This window comes from Homo sapiens, chromosome 22 (genome assembly GCF_000001405.40).
Source record: "Homo sapiens chromosome 22, GRCh38.p14 Primary Assembly".
In the NCBI taxonomy this organism is placed as follows: domain Eukaryota; kingdom Metazoa; phylum Chordata; class Mammalia; order Primates; family Hominidae; genus Homo; species Homo sapiens.
The window spans coordinates 22,797,304-22,816,236 of record NC_000022.11 but is presented as its reverse complement, the minus strand read 5'-3'; the positions used below and the strand labels follow the sequence as shown (position 1 = coordinate 22,816,236).

The following is an 18,933-nucleotide window of genomic DNA, read 5'->3' as shown; positions in this document are numbered from 1 at the left end:
AAGGAACTTGAGTTTTCTTGTGGAACTTTTTGCAAAATGTTTCATAAGCTTCGGCTTCCAAGGAATACTGTTGGATCAGAGAGACATGGCAACCAAATGTGGGCATGGGAAACTTCAGGGTCCTGAAAGGCAAGGAAATTGAGCAACTATAAGAATCGTTCTTGTGCAACTGGAGAATATGATTATGGTCTGCATAGAAGAGTGCTATTAATAGTCTCACTTGTGGTAGAGAGAGAGAAACAAAAAGACGACTATGGCAGAGTGTCCACGGTTACCCCATCTAGGAAGAGGATGTGTATATATATGCGCTTGTGACAGTAGTCTGTTAACTTTGATGTATACACATGATTTCACCAAAAAGCAGTTGTACTCTTAAAGAAGGAAACAAAAAGACTAAGAGATTCTAAGTGAGAAAAGAAAGCCCAGTGAACCTGTCCCTAGGGCCTGGGATGAGAGATCCCTCCTGGAAGAGGGTGCCAGCCTCACCTAGCAGGACCTGTCCCCTGTGCCTGCAGACCCGGGATATGGAGCAGAGGGGCAAGTCCTGCACTTGGCACCAAGGACTTCTTAGTGAGCTCCTCAGAAAGCAGCCCAGAGCCCAGAGATAAAATCCAAGCTATCAGGGAGCTGGAGGCACACCTAGTCAGGTCAGACAGGTCCTGGGAATTTGGGGACTGGGAAAGGTCAGTGTTCCCTGAAGACAGTCCCCAGGTGGAACCAAAGGTTGGGCCTGCACTTCCTCTGCAGTTTCTGTGAAATGTCAGGACAGGAAGGCTCCTGGGGCCCACAGGGGTTGGGTCTCCTGTCCTCCTTAGGCCTCAGGTGCCCCATTACAATGTGGGGTCAACTCATCTAGGAAACCAGAGGAGACACGGCTTCCACTAAGCTGTTTCTACGCAAGGAAAAGACGAATTCCAGTAGGATTGCACCCTGTGAAACAGCTCTCTCCTTCCCTGTGTGACGTGTAATTACACATGGAGCCATGTGACACTATATGGATTCCTGAAGTTCTCATGTGTTCTACAAACCTGTAAAAGGTCCTTGCAGCTTCAACGAGCTTCCCCCGTACAGGTTTTATTGAACACATGTAGGCCCTGAGAGTATGGAAAAGCTGTTACGAATCTCCGGCCCTGCAGGGACCAGGTGAGGACCAGAGAGGACACCTGATTCTGAGGCCTGACCTACAGCTGCTCAGAGGGCAGGTAAGAATGAGAGGCAGGCTGAAGTGGGACAGTTTGTTGCAAGTCCCCATCTGTCTTTGTCACTGTGAGTCCCTGCCAGCTGCCCCCACTGTCACAATCTGAGGCACAGTAATAGTCAGCTTTGTCCCTGGCCTGGGCACTGCTGATGGTCAGGGTGGCCATGTTCGCTAGTTTGTGGCCTAAAAATTAAGCAGAGGTCTCTGAGGGCTGGTCGATGTTATACTAGAGGACCGACATTGAGGTCTGGCTTGGCTTCTGCTTGTTCCAAAATGCGTGTTTATTCCGAGGTTATCTCCAGAGCATATGATCATGGTCATCTGTCCCAGGGCTACCGACACTGAGGGGAGCTGTCCCTGCATGTAGGAGGCCCAGGGCTGTGCAGACAGGAGGGTAGAGAAGGGTTGATGACAGAGACCCATTCCCAGAAGGTCCCAACACCGAGGCTGTGCCTGGTCTGAACTCAGGGTTTGGGCTGGCCATTTATGGAGCAATTTATTGAGTGGTTTAATGGAAGGTCTTTCACTCTAAGTAAAATGTCTCTTAAAACATTTCCACACTATTGTCTTATAAAATTTCCACAATAGAAATAACTAATGTTTCCTGTTCTCAATATAAAAATAGATTTCTCTTAGTGGTGCTAAAACTGAATTGGATACCAAGATGTGGTTGACAGGACCCCAGGGTAGGCAGGGGCCAAGTAGTGGCATTTTAGTGCCTAAGACACTGTGGCTTGGTTACACTAATGCATAGCTAAGCCAACAAGGAATCAGAATAATCAGACAAGATCATGGATGTGGTCTAGGTGGTCCCAGTGACCCTAGACCTGAGGTAGGCGAGCAACCTCCCCATTGTTATTTTTCTAAATGAGCAGAAAGCTCCATTAGAGGAAGACTGGGGGGGCTCCTGGGCCTCAACAGGGGCTCTTTGTGACTGTGGCCACAGAGCTCACCATGGGACACAAGCTGCCAATGAGCTGGATGTTATCTGACCCCCAGTCCGAGGTGGCCATTTATAGTGGCCTCCCCATCACATGGCTGGGCTGTACCTGAGACCTGATGGATCAGGTCACAAGGACAAATAAGTTGCATGAAGAGGTGGCCAGATAGACACGGGCCAACTCCTGCCCCATGGCCATCCTCTCACCTTACAGCCTGGGCCTCCTGAGGGGCTCCCTGGGACCAGCTGCCTAGGAGGAGGCACTTAGACTGGGGTTACAGAGGTTTCTGCAGGACATGCAGCCATCCCTGCTGTGGACAGTGCTAGTATCCCACCTGGCCTCTGGGCTTCCCTGAACAGCAGTGGTGGAGGAACACTCTCCTTAAGGCAGAACTTAGAGCAGTGTACCTGGTTCATGTCATCTGCAAAGAGAGACGGGCAGAGGTTCCTAGTTCATGGGCTGTGACTCAGGGACTTGGAAGATGATCAAGGATGTTCAGGGACACAGGAAATACAATCAGAATATTGATCACAACTGTGTCTGAGGGAGAGATGTGTGAGCAAGCAGAAAGCATGAGAATATTTATCTCCTATGTGAATATTTTGTGAAGTCTGACATGAGAAGGAATTGATTTTGCTAAACAGGTTGGTAGGATGGGTGGCTCTCTGGACACCTGGCAGTCTGCCCCAACCACTGCCATCATTGCCCAATTGGCTCAATAACAAATGCCCTATGGTTGCAGAAAAGGAGGCTGTCCATGGACTCATCAAAGTGGACTACCACTCACTAGAGCTGACCTGGCTGTAGCTACTGCTGAGTGACCATCTGCCAACAGTGAAGACCAACAGGAAGATCCCTATAGGATGCCTGGTTGATATTAATTTCATTAAAGCTGTTCCTTCATGGCAGGGATAGCTCTTTGCTCTTGCCAGAATACACACTTAGTATAGACAGGGATTTGCTTTCTTTGACTGCAGTGCTTCTGCCAAACCTTTTATCTCTGGACTACAGAATGCTTCACCCACCATGATGGTATTCCACAGGGGGCTTTGACCAAGGAACTCATATCACAGCAAATAAACAGCAACCATGGGCCCATCCTCATGGCATTCAAGTGTCTTACCATCTTCACCAATGTGGCATCTGGCTTATATGAATGGCTCAGTGTCTGCTTGAAGACTCAGTTACTGTGGCAGCAGGATGGCAAAAACATGTAAGGTTGGGCAATGACTTTGAGGATGGGGCATGCGCTGTACAGCAGTGCCCAATATGCAGTACTATTTCTCCCACAGTCAGGATCCATGAGTCCAGGAATCAATGAATAAATTGTAGTGGCTCCACTCAAAAACGTCCTTAGTGATCCATGAGCAAAATTTAATGTCCTCCCCCACAACCTCGGGCTCTGTGAGTCTAGAGTCTTAGTTGCACTGGAGAAATGCTTCTTCCAAGAGATAAAACAATGACTGCATTGAACTGAGAGCTGAAAGTTTCCCCTGTCGCTCTGGGCTGTTCATGCCTGCATGGATGTCCCGCTGTGTCTGTCTTTCCACTCATACTCTCCATTCACAACTCAAACCGTGGGCAAGGAAACACAGGGCAGTCTGGCCCTGCCAGGCCCAAATCCACTCCTGACTCATTCCTGCAAAGTCTGCCTAGAGGAGTGGAGGGAAAAGCAGCTTAAGGATCTCCTAACCAGGTGAATTCTGCCAGACCTGCTTATGGGTTGGTCCACAGCGGTCCTGGGGCTGGAGGGAGAGGGTAAAATAGATGAAGAAGGGGTTTGTGTCTCACTTCCCCATCTGCCAGTGTCACTGTGCTATGATTACCACTGCTGTCTGTTGAGTAACAGTAGTAGTCAGCTTCATCCTCCACCTGGGCCCCACTGATAGTCAAGGTGGCCATTGTCCCTGAGCTGGAGCCAGAGAATCTCTCAGGGATCCCGGAGGGTCGTTTGCTGTCCTCATAGATGACCAGCACAGGGGCCTGGCCTGACTTCTGCTGGTACCAATAAGCATATTTTTTTGGCAATGCATCTCCAGAGCAGGTGATCCTGGCCGTTTGTCCTGGGGACACTGACACCGAGGGTGGCTGTGTCAGCTCATAGGAGGCCTCAGAGACTGCAAGGAAAACAGGAGAGGGGGCTTGAAGATCAAGAGCCCATTCCCAGGGGTCCTACCCTAAGACTGTGTCTGGGCTTTGCACAGGGTTCAGGGCAGGGCCAACTTGGGGTCTATGGGCACTGAGCCTGGGGCAGGGCCTGGGAGAAGCACCTGTGCAGAAAGTGAGGAGGGGGAGCAGGAGAGGGGTCCAGGCCATGGTGAGATTCCCAGAGCTCTGCCTCCTGAGCCCACAGCACAGCTGGGCTCCCCAGGCCTCTCTTATTCCTTCCCAGGCCCTATGGGGCAGTAAGTGCTTGGTGTTCATGCAAATTTCTATCCTCTGGGACTCCTCATTGAAAGATGTCACTCAAACTAGCTGTGGGGGCAGCACAGGTGACTGAAGAAGGAGTTGGGTCTTTGGTCAGAAAATTAGCCTCGACCTCTGAGGCCTGTGATCACAGTCACCTTCCTGGGGACTGGCCATATGACCACTGTCCCAAACCTCTCTGACCTGTGGTCTGTCCTGGGCCAGGCTCAGCAGGGCTGCGGGCCTTCTAGAAACCTGGCTTGGGGCTGAGTTTGGCCCTGCTGAGAGATCATTGATGAAACCTGACTCAGCAGCAGGTGGACCAAGAACCCACCATATTCCCCCTCCTCTCTGGGTCCCCCAGCATTACTTAGTCCCATCCTGGTCATTTCATCTAAATAACGTACTGTGTCGTCAGGATACTTGTTAATTATTTCAGTAGGAGTAGGTGGTTCATTTACGCAACCACACACCCTTGTGGCATCATCTGGACGTCTGCTCTCATTTCAGCCATGGTGCCGCTCCTTTTAGGCCATCCCCCATCCCCACATAGATCAGCCATTGCCATCCTCAGCTCTTCCATTATTTATTTATTTTTTCCTATGAGTATTTTGTGTAAACTTGTAAAAGGCCCCAGAAAAGCATCGGGGTTCTCAGTCCAGTGTGTTTTTCTGGTGCTTTTTACAAGTTTACATGAAATATTGATGGGAAATTCAACTTTAGGCCTGGTGGTCTCTGCAAATATCCCAGGGACACAGCCTTTGCACAGAGTGTGAGCTCTGGATGGTGGGTGGTCCCTGGTCTCTGCAATGCAGCAGACTCTTGTCACTGAGCCAAGGACAGCCTTGTGGTCAGAGCTCTGGCCTGAATCAGGTGAGAACCCCCTTCCCTCTGGAGAGCATCTCCTCTAGGAGGCCCGGGAAGCCCCACCCAGGAACCGGGGCCCTGAATGTGCCGCCCCACCCACCTGAGACTCCCCTGCGCACAGGAGCTGCCCCATGAGTCAGAGTCAGTCTCGAGCTGGAAGGAGAGGCAGAGGGAGGAGGGGTCAGGCGTCCCTGGAAGTGCCTGGGACAGGGTTCAGCTCCCCAGGACACTGCTGGAGAGGGAGGGGCGAGGCCCCGAGAGTGGCAGGATGCTCAGATGGCCATCCTGGGTGAAGGACTTGAGCCCTGGGAGCCCCATCCTCTCCCACTGGGCCCCCTCCTAGAGCACCTCAACCTTGGGGCATCTTCCAGGGAATTCCAGCACTGTGGGAGCTGCCCAGGCTGACATCTGGGCCCAGGTGCCTCCGGCTGCATTTCCCAGGTGAGGCTCTCATTGTGCCCCGGCTCCTGTCGGTGTCCTGGGTGATGCTGTTTGAGTCTGACCCTCAGAACATGGTCGCTGTAACCAGAAGCAATAGGATGGACTGTCCTGACTTCCAATCCTAGGACTGAACCTTGGACACCTGTAGACCTCCCAGGGCTGCCTACCCCTTAGGCTCCACCTGGGCAGCCCCAGCCTCTGGCTGCTCCTGGCTGCAGCTCTGCTGCCCCCTGCTGGTGGACAAGACTGAGCCTAGGAGAGCTTTTCTCCTCCGGGTGACCCCACAGCACCTGTCATCTGGGAGGTTGGGGACAAAGGAGTCCAGCCTCACTTTGAGCCAGTGTGATCCACTGTGGTTTTCTCATGTCAGCACAGAAAGGTGTATATGGTTTCGGGAGGGTGGGCAGATTCAATTCCCATAATGGAGTCTTGTGCTGAAATGTTGTTCTTTGGTCCATGATTTTTGATTGCGGGCTGGAGAGTGCAGGGTAAGCTGTAGCTCTTCTGTGATAAACATAAAAGCCCAGAGAAATGCAGCGACACCTCATGGGGACCCTCAATTCCTAAATATATGGGAACTAAGACTGGTGCCCCCATTTTATAAGAAAAGCTGCATTGAATTTGGGAACACCTGATGTTTCTATCACTAAACCTTAGTTGTGTACTTAAGTCATTATCATCATCATCGCCATCTTTTTCTATGACTGTTATTTTTATTTCATCACACACTGTTCACAATTTGTGGTGGGAGGATTTCTACACTATCCTTGTCTGTTGTTTTGAGAAAATTGCGAGTATCTTGCTAACACATCTGGGAACATGCTTTCCCACACTCCAGAAAAATGCCCCCAGAGATGGACAGGACCTCACCAACCTGTGTCCACCCTCTGAGATTCACTTATTCCATCTTTAACTAACAGGTTCTTTTTGTGTCTTTTTCTCAACTGCAGTATAAGCCTCCCAGTTTTAAAGATAAAATTGAGGCCAAGAGAACTAATGCCCAGGATAACAAAGAAAAGTTGTGGCAAGTCCAGTTGTTCCTGTACCTTGAAACTTGGTTCAATGTGTTTATTCACTTTGTTAGTTTTTCTGTGCGTGTATTCTTTGGGATATTGTACGTTTAGAATCGGGTTCTGTGCAAATAGGGATGATTTTACTCCTTCATTTCCATTCTAGATACCTATTATTTCTTTCTTTGCCTAAGAGCTTTGACTAAAACTTCTGTACAATGTCAAATAGTAGTTGTGGAGGCAGGAGTCCTTGTTTTGTCCCTGATCTTAGTAGGGAAGCTTTTACTCTTCCACCATTTAATGTGATGTACACTGTGGCTTTAGATAAAGGTCCTTTATTAGTTTGTAGAAGTTTCCTTCTATTCCGAGTTTGCTGAGTGTGTGTTTTTTTTTTAATCAGGAAAATGTGAATTTTGTGAAACACTTTTTCTGCATCTACTCAGATGATCATACACTTTTTCTGTCACTCTGTTAATATATATTACGTTGATTCATGTTCTTATGTAGAACCATCTTTGAAATCCTTTATTCCCCTTAACTTAACGTTGGATTTGGTTTGCTTTTATTTTGTTGAGGATTTTTGCATGCTCATTCTTAAGGAATATTAGCCTTTAGTTTAGTTTTTTTAAAATACTATCCTTGTTTGCCTTTGGTGTCAGGCTAATGCTAGGGTCTTCGAATGTGCTGGGAAGTACTTCCTCTTAATCTGTTTTGGGAAGAGATTGATTATGGTTGATATCAACTCCTTTTTACATTTAGCAGAATTACCAGTGAGGCCATCTGGTTTTGAGTTTTTCTTTTTTCGGAAGTTTCCATTGCTGATTTACATCCCTTATTTTCTATATTTCTGTTGATTTTTTTCTCTTTTTTCTTGAGTCAGATTGGCAATCTGTGTTTACTATGAATTTGTCCATATCTTCTAAGATTTGGCATACAATTGCTTGTGTGTTCTTCTATTATAATTTAAATTTCCATAAGCTTTGTACTATTGTCCCAAATTTCTGATTTTACTTATTTGTGTCTCTTCTCTTATTATCTTTTTTTTTTTTTTTTTTTTTTTTGGAGATGGAGTCTTGCTCTGTTGCCCAGGCTGGAGTGCAGTGGTGTGATCTCTGCTCACTGCAGGCTCCGCCTCCTGGGTCCATGCCATTCTCCTGCCTCAGCCTCCCGAGTAGCTGGGACTACAGGCACCCACCACCATGCCCAGCTAATTTTTTTTTTTTTGTATTTTTAGTAGAGACGGGGTTTCACTGTGTTAGCCAGGATGGTCTCGATCTCTTAACCTCATGATCCACCCGCCTCAGCCTCCCAAAGTGCTGGGATTACAGGCGTGAGCCACCATGCCCGGCCTAGGTGGTCAGTAAAAGTGGAGAAGTGAAGTCTCCAAGTTATATTATAGATCTACATATTTTTTTTTTCAAATTGGTCTTCCTTTATGTACTTTGAAGTGCTATCCCTTGGTGCATAATTATTCTGTCTTCTTGACTAGTTGGTTATTTCATCAATTATAACGCCTTTCTTTGTCTCTTGTAAGCATTTTTAACTTGAAGCCTATATTGTCTGAAATTGCTTTAGCTACCCCAACTCTCCTTTTGTTACTATTTACACTTTTCCTTTTGTATTTGGCTTTTGATGCTTTGATCAGAATGTGTCTCACTGCAGACTTCAGTTTAACTTGCTTGGAGTTTATTGAGCTCCTCGAAAGTATAGATTCTAATCTTTCATCAAACTTAGAAGTTTTGAGCTATTTTTCTTTATGTATTTTATTTTTCCTTTCCTGTTTTTCTTCTCTTTCTGAAACTCCCATAAAGCAATATTGATATGCTTGATGTTGTCTCATATGTCTCTTAGGCTTTGTTCATTTATTCTTTTCTAAAAAAATTTATGCTCATCCTGTGGAATTTCAATGATGTATCTTCAAGTTCACCGATTATTCTTCTGTCTGCTCACACCACTACTTAACTCCTCTGGTGAGATTTTGATTTCAGCTATTGAACTTTGCAGTTTCAGTATTTCTGCTTGGTTCCTTTATAAAACTTGTCATTATTGATATTTCATGCTTGTTCAAACATCATTTCCCTGCTTTCCTTTAGTTCTGTTTCCATGGAGTCCTTTTGCTTTTTGAGCATATACGGGCAGTTCATTTGAAGTGTTTGTGTAGCACGTGCAATGCCTGTGCTTCCTGAGGAATGCATTCAGTTGATTTATTTCTTTCCTTTTAGTGGGTCTTGCTTTCTTTTATGTTTGTCTGCTTTGTAAACTTTTCTTGAGATCTGGGTATTTTGGATGTTATGATATTGTCACTCTCGAAATCAGATTGTCTCTCTTCTCTGCCTTGGCTGATGTTGCTTGCTGAAAGGTGCTGTTATTCAATTGCGTGGTGACATTTCCAAAATATTTTGGTAAGGACCAGCTTCCTTGTCAGAGTGATCCATGCAGTTTCTGTTCAATTATTTCCATGGCCAGAAATTGACCTGACAGAGATTATTTTATGTCTCTCCCTTCATCGGCACATCCCTGAATACTGCAAATGTGGGACAAGATTCTGTTGTTTTATGAGAGTTAATGTCATGACTCTTGCCACTTCAAGTAATTTCACAGGAGGGACCATTTGCTGGAGCTTCGTACTCCACCATCTTCCATGATGCCACTCTGAGAGCAGGTATTCTTGTCTTTTTTGTGCACCAATAAATCTCCATCACCTAAACAGTATATGAGACAGTTTAGTGAACTGGTTTAAATTCATATTTGTTTAATGTGTAAGTAAATGTAATTGAATTTATAATACTTTTTATCCATTTCCCATGAGTCAGGTGCTGTGATAGCAATGTTTTACGTATGCAGTTACCTTTCTTTTAATTTTCATATTTTATTCAATGTGTATGTCTTCAAATTTGTTCATGGATGTCTTAGCCAGATTTATGATTTTTAAAAGCCAAAATATAATGTCTCGCTAAATCTACTGAACCAGTGGAGGGACATCATGTGGTCACCCACTGCTCCCGTGGCATCCATGAGTGTGGCTTTAACTCTGCCTTTTTTTTTTCCTTGATTAGTGTTGGAAAATCATAGGTGACCTTTTGTCAGGAGAATAAAGTATTAAGAACCATGACTGGAAATTTTCCTCTCTCAAAAGAAGCAATGGGAAATTCTACAATTAGTGTTGTTCATTTCAATAGCTCTCTCTCACAGACCTACAAAATAAATACACAAAAAAACAGTAAGAATATATATTTGAACTATTAGCCAACTTAGGCTAATTGAATTCGTAGAAAACTATACCCACAGCAGCAGAATAAACATTGCTATTTCAAATACACAGGGAACATTTTTCATGATACTTCCTATTCTAGGCCACAAAACAAATGTTAACAAATTTGAAAATATGAAGCTCATGCAAGGTATGATTTAATGCAGAATTAACTAATTAAATGGAATTGATACATGATGAACTGTGGTAAATCTTCAATTTTTTGGAAATGAAAGAAGATAAAACTACATATTTCATAAGTCAAAGAAAAAAATCACAACAAAATTAGAAAATACTGAACTTTTAAAACACAAAAACAAATGTATTAAAATTTAAAAAATAGATATAAGTAAGTAGTTTTAAATAAATCTATTGGATTGAATGTTTGGCAGTGGAAAGAAGCAAGATCTAAAATAAACTAAGGTTCTACCTCATAAATCTAAGGAAAAGGAGAGCATTGAAATTCAATTTAAATAGAGAAAAGGTATTAATATAGTTAAGAGCCAAATATCAATGAAATAGAAAACAGGAAAACAACAGAAAACCTCAAAAAGTGACTTAAAAAATACAATCTATGGATATGTTCCTTGTTTTTCTTTCCCTTTCTCTGTCTCTGTTTTTGATTGCTTTAAAAAATGGTTCCTTTCTATCTTCATGCCGGCTTAAGTGATGGTTAATTTTAAGTGGCACATTGACTAGGATGTGGTTCCAGGTTGATTTTGTCCAGTACAAACATAGAAGTTTATGTGAAGATATTTTCCAGATGTGACTCACATTTAACTCAGTAGACTTTGTATAAGCAGATTACTCATCACAATGCGGTGGGCCTCATTCATGAGTAGAAAGTGTATAGAGCAGGCCAGGCCTGGTGGCTCACACCTGTAATCCCAGCACTTTGGGAGGCCAAGGAGGCAGGAGGATCACTTGAGGCCAGGAGTTCGAGACCAGCCTGGTCATCATGGAGAAAGCCGGTCTCTACTAAAAATACAAAAATTAGGTGGATGTGATGGTGCACACCTGTAATCCCAGCTACCTGGGAGGATGAGGCACAAGAATCACTTGAAGCTGGGAGGTGGCGATTGCAGTGAGCTGAGATCACACCACTGTAACCCAGCCTGGGTGACAGAGTGAGACTCTGTCTCACAAAAAAAAAAAAAAAAAAAAAGAAAGTGTTTAGGTGTTTAGAGCAAAGAGTGAGGATTTCTTAAGTCCTGTATTGCTGAATTCAGGCTCAGGACGCAACATCAACTCTTACCTGCATTTCCAGCCTTCAGCCTGCCCAAGAGATTTTTATCCTTGTCAGACAGGACAATCCTATGAACCAATTTCTTCTTTTAAGTTTCTCTCTCTCTCTCGATATGCTCACATACATGCATGTGTATATACACATATGTATGTTATACACACATATATATCTTACCAATTTTGTTTCTGTGGATAACCCTAATGTAGCTTATTCGCTCTAATTCTTTTTTGATCAAAAGGTTTGATTTAATGACTACTTTAAGGTTTATGTATATAGAGATCTTATGAAAATCTACCTGCAGTTGTTACACATTCCCATATGAGACCTTGATAACATGTTCTTCACCCACCACAGATTTTGTGCTGTCTTTGTCATATAATTTGCCTTTATTTTCATTATAAATCACAATGTATTTTATTAATTTATCTTTGATCAGTGAACTGTATTTTATTGGCATTAACATAATACAGAGGTTTTCACAAGTATCTATGTAGTTACTGTACCTGATATTTAATTTTTTTATTTCCTTTTTTTTTTTTTAATAGAGACAGATTCTTAATATGTTGCCCAGGCTGGACTGCAGTGGTATGATCATACCTCACATCAGCCTCAAACTCCTGTGCTCAAGCAATACTCCTGCCTCAGTCTCCCAAAGTGCTGAAATTACAGACATGAGCCACTGGGCCCAGCCTGATGTTTTCACTTTTTTGTGTAAATTCACATTTCAATGTGACATCACTTTCCTTCTGTCTAGGGATATCCTTTACCCTTCTAATAGCAACAGTCTGGTGGTGAACAATTCTGTGAGTTTTTAAATGTCAGCAAAACTTTCATTTATTCACCATTTTTGAAAAATACTGCATGAAGGGGAATATGGGGAAAAGTGAATTTTAAAAATAGACCAAGATTTGATTAAGCTTTTCACCAAAGAAGATATACAGATAACAAGCACCTGAAAAGATGCTCAGCCTGATGTTGCTAAGAAAATACAAGTTAAAAAATTAATAAGAATCGCTACAGATCTATTAGAGTGGCTTTAAACAAAAACTGACAATAATATTGAGTGTTAATGAGGATGCACACAACTACAGTTCTCATAAATGGCTGGGGACATGTCAAGATCCATGTTGCCTCCTCAGGCAGAGCCCCATGACAGTCCCCTGAGGCAGGGGTGCAGGGTGCAATGGCACTCACTGGATGCAGTCATCTCAGCCCGACCCCTCTCTCAGGGCCGTTTTCCTGCCTGGGCTGTTCTGGTCTCTCCCAGTGTAGTCCCCACAGGCTGGTGTGGTGGAAACAGATTGATGACTTATCAAAATGGCCTCAATCATGGCCTGCATCTGCCTCTGCCTAAGGGTGTCTTGAGGGAGGACATCTGGGATGATGAAATTTGAAAGGGGGAGAGTCAACATTCTCAGGGTCAATGGAGATGACATAGGGCTTCTCACTCTCAGTCCTTGAAGAGGAAGGGGAGGGGGTATGTTTTGGCCTCACTTCTTGGTCTGTGTCACTGTGGCTCACCCATCCTCACCATCAAACATGTGGCTCTCTCCACAGTGATACTCGGCCTCATCCTCAGATTGGAGGTTGAAGATAATTAAGTAGCATTCAGCCCCAGGGCTGGAGCCCAATAAGTGACTGGGGATCCTGTTCCCCTTGCTGTTGCTGCCATTACTCTTAACCTCCATTATACACTAGGGGGACCTCCTTGGTCTCTGTTGATACTATTCACTGGTGTAGGTGACCTTGGCTGAGGCTCACAGCCAGGCAGATGCAGACGGGGGCTGGGTCAGCACAGACAGAGCACAGAGACCTGGAAACATATAATTTCATGAATGATGCTGAATGCACAGGAGAACTGGAAAGAATGCCACTGAGGACCAGTGCTGGGGGGAAATAGCAGTGAAAGGGTTTCCCTGAATTCTCTGGATGCTCCAACCTGTGGAGAATATGAAGGGCAGGAGGTAGAAGGAGACACAGGCCGTGGTGGGAGGCACTTCCGAGAGCTCTGATCGAGGCTGCCCAGTGGAGCCTGGACACAACCAGCTCCTATCTTATCCTCTTCTTGAAGCTCAAGAAGGAAGGAGCATTGAATCCAAATCTGTTCTCTATTCCCAAGCGTGTCTGTCTGAGCTCATAGCTGAGCCCTGGAGCTGATGGCCTCAGGGTAGTCATTTCTCAAAGGCAGGAGAAGGGCCAAGTGGGTGTCAGGAGTGGAGAGTGGATTGTACTCAAAAAGACTGGACCTGAAAGGAAACATCAGTCACACCCTTTGCACGTGAGCTCTACTGGGGGACTTGGAGCTATTAGCATCCCCAAACAATACACCCACAGTGCCTCCTGCTGTCCACAGGAGGAATGCCATCCTCCATGTATCACTAGATTATGCAAAACAACTACTTATGAGACCTTAATATATTCAGAGTCTTTGGTGAGTGTTTTATAGGCACAACCATGACTGGATATTTATAATAACCCTTCCTCAGCCCTATGCTTATGGCATAACCTCTCCTCAAGTTTACTGATGACAGAACCAACATTGAAAGATTACACAATGACAGAAGTGAGTGGAGTCAAGATTCCATGCAGGAGATGCACCTCAGAGCCTGAACTTCAGCTTCTTCCTGCCCTGCTTCCTTTCTTCCCATGAGTCTCCTCCTCCCACCTCATCCCAGGACCCCGGACCCCTCTGATCACAACCCTCTCTTCTTTAATCAGGTGCACTGTCTTTGATGGGTTCTGTGGACAGAGGTAGGGACACTTCCTCTGTTCACCCCATGACAGATAACAAAAAAGCACATGTCAGCAGTGACACTGGGACATCCAGATGTCTGCTTGGCTCCTTGTGCCAGTCATATCCCCAGAAAAATTTGGGATCAGGATTTTATTTCTAAGAAGGTCAAGGCTGTTGAATTAGGACAGCTGTAACACTAGATACTGAAGTCTTTTAATTTAATAAACATAATTGACAAGAAAGTATTCCTTAATTAATATTCTAAGTATATGTATTAGTTTTCAGACCTAGGACTGTTGAGGCTGTGATGAAAGTAATTCAATCACAACATGATGTTGTATTATAAATAGAAAAGACGTGTGAAGTCCTGCGATGATCTCGGAGACAGACAGAAGTCTCTATGTGCTGATTTCCTGGAGTTTGGTCTAAAGAGACAACTGAGATAAGATGAGGCCACAGGTCACCAATACGCCTGCTCCTGTACCTGGCTGAGCACATCACTCGCAGTTCCTCCACACGCTTACCAACCTAAGAATCCACTCCTCCTGTCACTGGGCATCTCAGGGTCTCCTCCCAGGACCCTGCCGGCCACTCATGCAGGCCAGTTCCTTTTCTTGTGGGTCCTGATGCAGCATTGGATGTAACTTGCTAAGACTATCCTGGGAGATGGACACATCACCAGAATGTGTTCCAGGAGAACTACAGCAAAACCACTTTGTCTTGTCCAGATTCGCTGTGATGCACATTACTCTCCCAGTTGCATCTCTAGAACTGGCCTTGTTTGTAAATTCCTGATTCTGGGAAGAAGCACCCAGTTCTGCAGAAACTGTCAAGGTGATCTGCCCAAAGTGAACAATCAGTTTGTGACCTGTGACCGTGCACAGTGGGCAGTGTGGAGGTTGAGATGGGCATGGGGGGACTGCCAGTCAATAGGGCAGGTCTTGTGCCACTGAGGGGAGGAGACCCTGGGGAGAGAGAGCAGGGGCATCTCCCACTGTTTTCCTGTAAGTCAGTCCACTGAGGCACAAAAGCGAGTTGAATAAGATCTTAAGATGCAAAGACCACAGCAGAGCTGGGGCTCAGGACAGTCAGGACCTGCAGCTTTAGGAGAAAAGCTGATAAGCCTAGTGTCCCAGGGAGACTGTCAGGGAGGCAGCTGCATTTAGCCCCACCCACTGGAGAAAGATTCTTGATTCCATGAATCAAGAATTTCCAGCCTGGCTGGGAGCCCATGGAAGCAACTCTTATCCATGTGTCAGGGATTTGCTCACTCTGGTGATGGCCAGAGAGCATGGGTGGATCCTGGATATTCAGGGAATATTGACAGCTGGCCCATGACAGAGACAATGTTACAAATTTACATTGTAGGCTCCCCCCCGCCGAATTGATATTGAAGTCCTCAGCCCCAGAACCTCAAAATGGGATCTTATATGGGAATGGGGTGGTTACAGATGTAATGGGTTAACATGACATCATACTGAAGTAGAGTGGGCTCCCAATCCAACAGGAGCGGTGTTGTTATAAAAGGGGGAAATGGCTGAATGCAGTGGCTCAGGCTTGTAATCCCAGCACTTTGGGAGGCTGAGGCAGGTGGATCACCTGAGGTCAGGAATTCGAGACCAACCTGGCCAACCTGATGAAACCCCATCTTTACTAAAAATATGAAAATTAGCTGAAGGTGGTGGCAGGCATCTGTAATCCCAGCTACTTGGGAGGCTGAGGCAGGAGAATCACTTGAACCTGGGAGGCAGAGGTTGCAGTGAGCCAAGGTCATGCCACTGCACTCCAGCCTGGGCGACAGAGCGAGATTCGATCTCAAAACAAAACAACAACAGCAAAAAACAAACAAACAAAAAACCGAGGAAACATGGTCAGAGACACACATAGGGAAAATGCCATATGAACATGGAGGCAGAGATTGGGGTGTTTGTCTGTAATTCAGGGAACAGCACATCCTTCCAGAAGCACCTGAAGCCAGGGAGATGCACAGAACAGGCCCTCGCTCAGCCTCAGAAGAAACCAACCCTGCCAACACCTTGATCTCAGATTCTAACATCACCTACAGATTAGTGGAGAAGACATTTCTTTTCTCTGAGCATCCAGTCTGTGCTACTTTATTATGGTAACCCTGGCAAAATAACACAGACGCCCCGAGGAATGCTGTGTTCAGAGAATCCCCTGTAGGGCTGGGCTCTTTGCAGATGCTTTGGTCTCTATCATCACAATCCTTTGGGGAGAGGCCTCCCTGTCCTGTGTTTTCCTCCCGTACAGTGCCCGAATTTCCTCTCAAGGAGCCTGTCCCAGCCCCACAGGCAGCAAATAGTGTCTCCTGTGACCTTAGACACCTCCCTTCCATGCCTGCCCCCTCGGGGCCCTGGCAGGATTTCTGATCAGACTCACAGGCCTCTCTCAAGGTTGTGGCTGTCAGCTGAGGAATGCGGCCCTGGGCAGGGAGGGATGGCCCAGGACCATGGGGCCAGAAAGCCTTCAACAGCCTTCAGATGAGCTTAGCAGCCTCTCCCCACCTGGCTGGCTACACCTCCTCCTCATGGATGAAGTTGCAATCCTTGGTTCTACAAACTCCCCCACTTTCCTCCCTGGCTGACTTGCCTGAAAACAGCTTCTGAGACATGGGGGGGAGTTGGCAGGAGAACACCTGGGGATGCTTGCCTCAGCTCCTGGGCCTCTATTTTAAATCATTTTAATCTCTCTTATTTCGAACAATCTAAAACCCTCGGCACTGCCTTTCCTCCATCTGAGGTCTAATTTTCATGAGCAAGGTCAGTAATAATTGCTGTCCACTAAGGAGCACTTGAATATGTTACGCCCTGTATTGAGCACTTTATGAATATGACTCAATTACATCCCTGCAGCTTTGTTAGGAAAAAAAGCTTGCTTTCTCTCTCCCAGTGATCTCTGCACAGACCGGCTTCCCTTCACCTTCTATCATGAGTGGAGACAGCCTGAGGCCCTCACTAGACGCAGATACCCAATCTTGATCTTTCCAGCCATCAGAAGCATGACCCCAATAAACCCTTTTTTTTCTTTACAAACTATCCAGCTTCAGGTATTCCTTTATAGCAACACAAAAGGTACTAAGACACCAGGAGGGGAGGGAGAGTTCACCTGTGCTTCTCAGGTTTCTTCATTAGGTGAGTCTTACCTGTGCCTGCGTGAGGAGGGTGAATAGGAGCTAAGCCACTCAAAATGTCCTTGGAGGACCAGCAGCATCAGCCTCACCTGGAAGCTGCTAGACATGGAGAATCTGGGGCCATACCCAGATGTGCTGAGGGCACAGCTGTATCTTAACCAGAATCCTCAGGGGATTTGTGTGCCCAATGAAATTCCAGAAGCTGTGGTTTAAACCACAATGGAAAGTCTCACTTTCTCTGCTTTTGACAACACACCTTTGTCTTCTACAAGCCCTTCTAAGAACACCTGGGTTTGGTGCTTAACTGCCCTGGTCTCATCAAACTGAGCTTGATTCCAGTGCTGGACTCTCTAATGATGTGCAAGAAATGTTTTAAGAGCAGACAATTTTAAAATCCACATGAGTGGTATGCTGGGAAAGGGACAAGATCCCAATGAGATATTCAGAGAGAAATAGATGGTTCATATCTTGTTCTCACTCAGCTCCCATTAGTATGGAATTTCCTTATTTCTCAGACATATGATCTCTGTGTTTCAGCCTCCGTCTGTTTTTCTCTTTGACTGGAACGTTTCCTGTGTGTGACCTCACTGCTCACACAATACCTGCCTAAATTCTAATCATCTGGAGTCAGATACCTGTACTCCAGACTTGTCAAGGAAGAGGTTTCTGGCCACCAGAATATTTGAAAATACAAAATTGTAACCTTTTAGCATTTATCAGTAAGTAACCGAAGAGTTGGGTATGGGATATTCAGATATTTTGCATGGAACAACATCCCCTCTAACTTCTGTACCACAAATCTTATCATGCGTGATGCTCTAACAAGACTAGAAAAAACAACCAACAAAAATGTTTCCTTGAAAGAAAACATTTGATCTGACTGTTGAGACAGTCATGTGATTTTTTCTTCTATTTTCTCTTCATCGTCACGGGTGTTTGTTAGGTTTTTTCTTGAGACGGAGTCTCGCTCTGTCGCCCAGGCTGGAGTGCAGTGGTGCGATCTTGGCTCACTGCAAGCTCCACCTCCCGGGTTCATGCCATTCTTCTGCCTCAGCCTCCCAAGTAGCTGGGACTACAGGTGCCCACCACCATGCCCAGCTAATTTTTTGTATTTTTAGTAGAGATGGGGTTTCACCATGTTAGCCAGGATGGTCTCGATCTCCTGACCACTTGATCCGCCCGCCTCGGCCTCCCAAACTGCTGGGATTACAGGCGTGAGCCACCGCGCCTAGCCTTGTTATGTTTTGATGATAGTCATTCCAGCAGCGGTGAGATGATATCTCATTTGGGTTTTAGTTAGCATTTCCCTGATTATTAGTCACCTTAAGCATTTTTTCACATACCTGTTTGCCATTTGTATGTCTTCTTTAGAGAAAAGTCTATTCAGGTCCTTTGCCCACTTTTTTTTTTTTTAATGCTAATCAGTTATTTTAGAGCCTTGTCCTCTATTCTTACACTGGATATTATGCCTTTTCAGATGAACAGGATATTAGGACCTATTCACATGAATACTTTCTCCCATTCTAAGGGTGTCTTCAATCTGTTGTTTGCTTTGCAGAAGCATTTTAGTTGAATAAACTCCCATTTGTCTATTTTTATTTTTGTTGTCTGTTCTTTTGAAGTCTTAGTCATAAAAATTTTTGTGTATCCCAAGGTCCTGAAGAATTTTATCTATGTTCCCTTCTAGTT

At 45.2% G+C, this 18,933-nt stretch overlaps 1 gene segment (V, D, J or C) and 1 further gene; both read right to left on the bottom strand.

The window, feature by feature from the left end:
• The window catches only part of IGL (immunoglobulin lambda locus), an 896,838-nt gene that overhangs the window by 106,677 nt on the left and 771,228 nt on the right, over positions 1–18,933 (bottom strand).
• Positions 3,956–4,455, bottom strand: IGLV3-10 (immunoglobulin lambda variable 3-10). The segment is given in 2 exon segments: positions 3,956–4,256; positions 4,410–4,455. Coding segments are annotated over 2 exon segments (347 nt in total).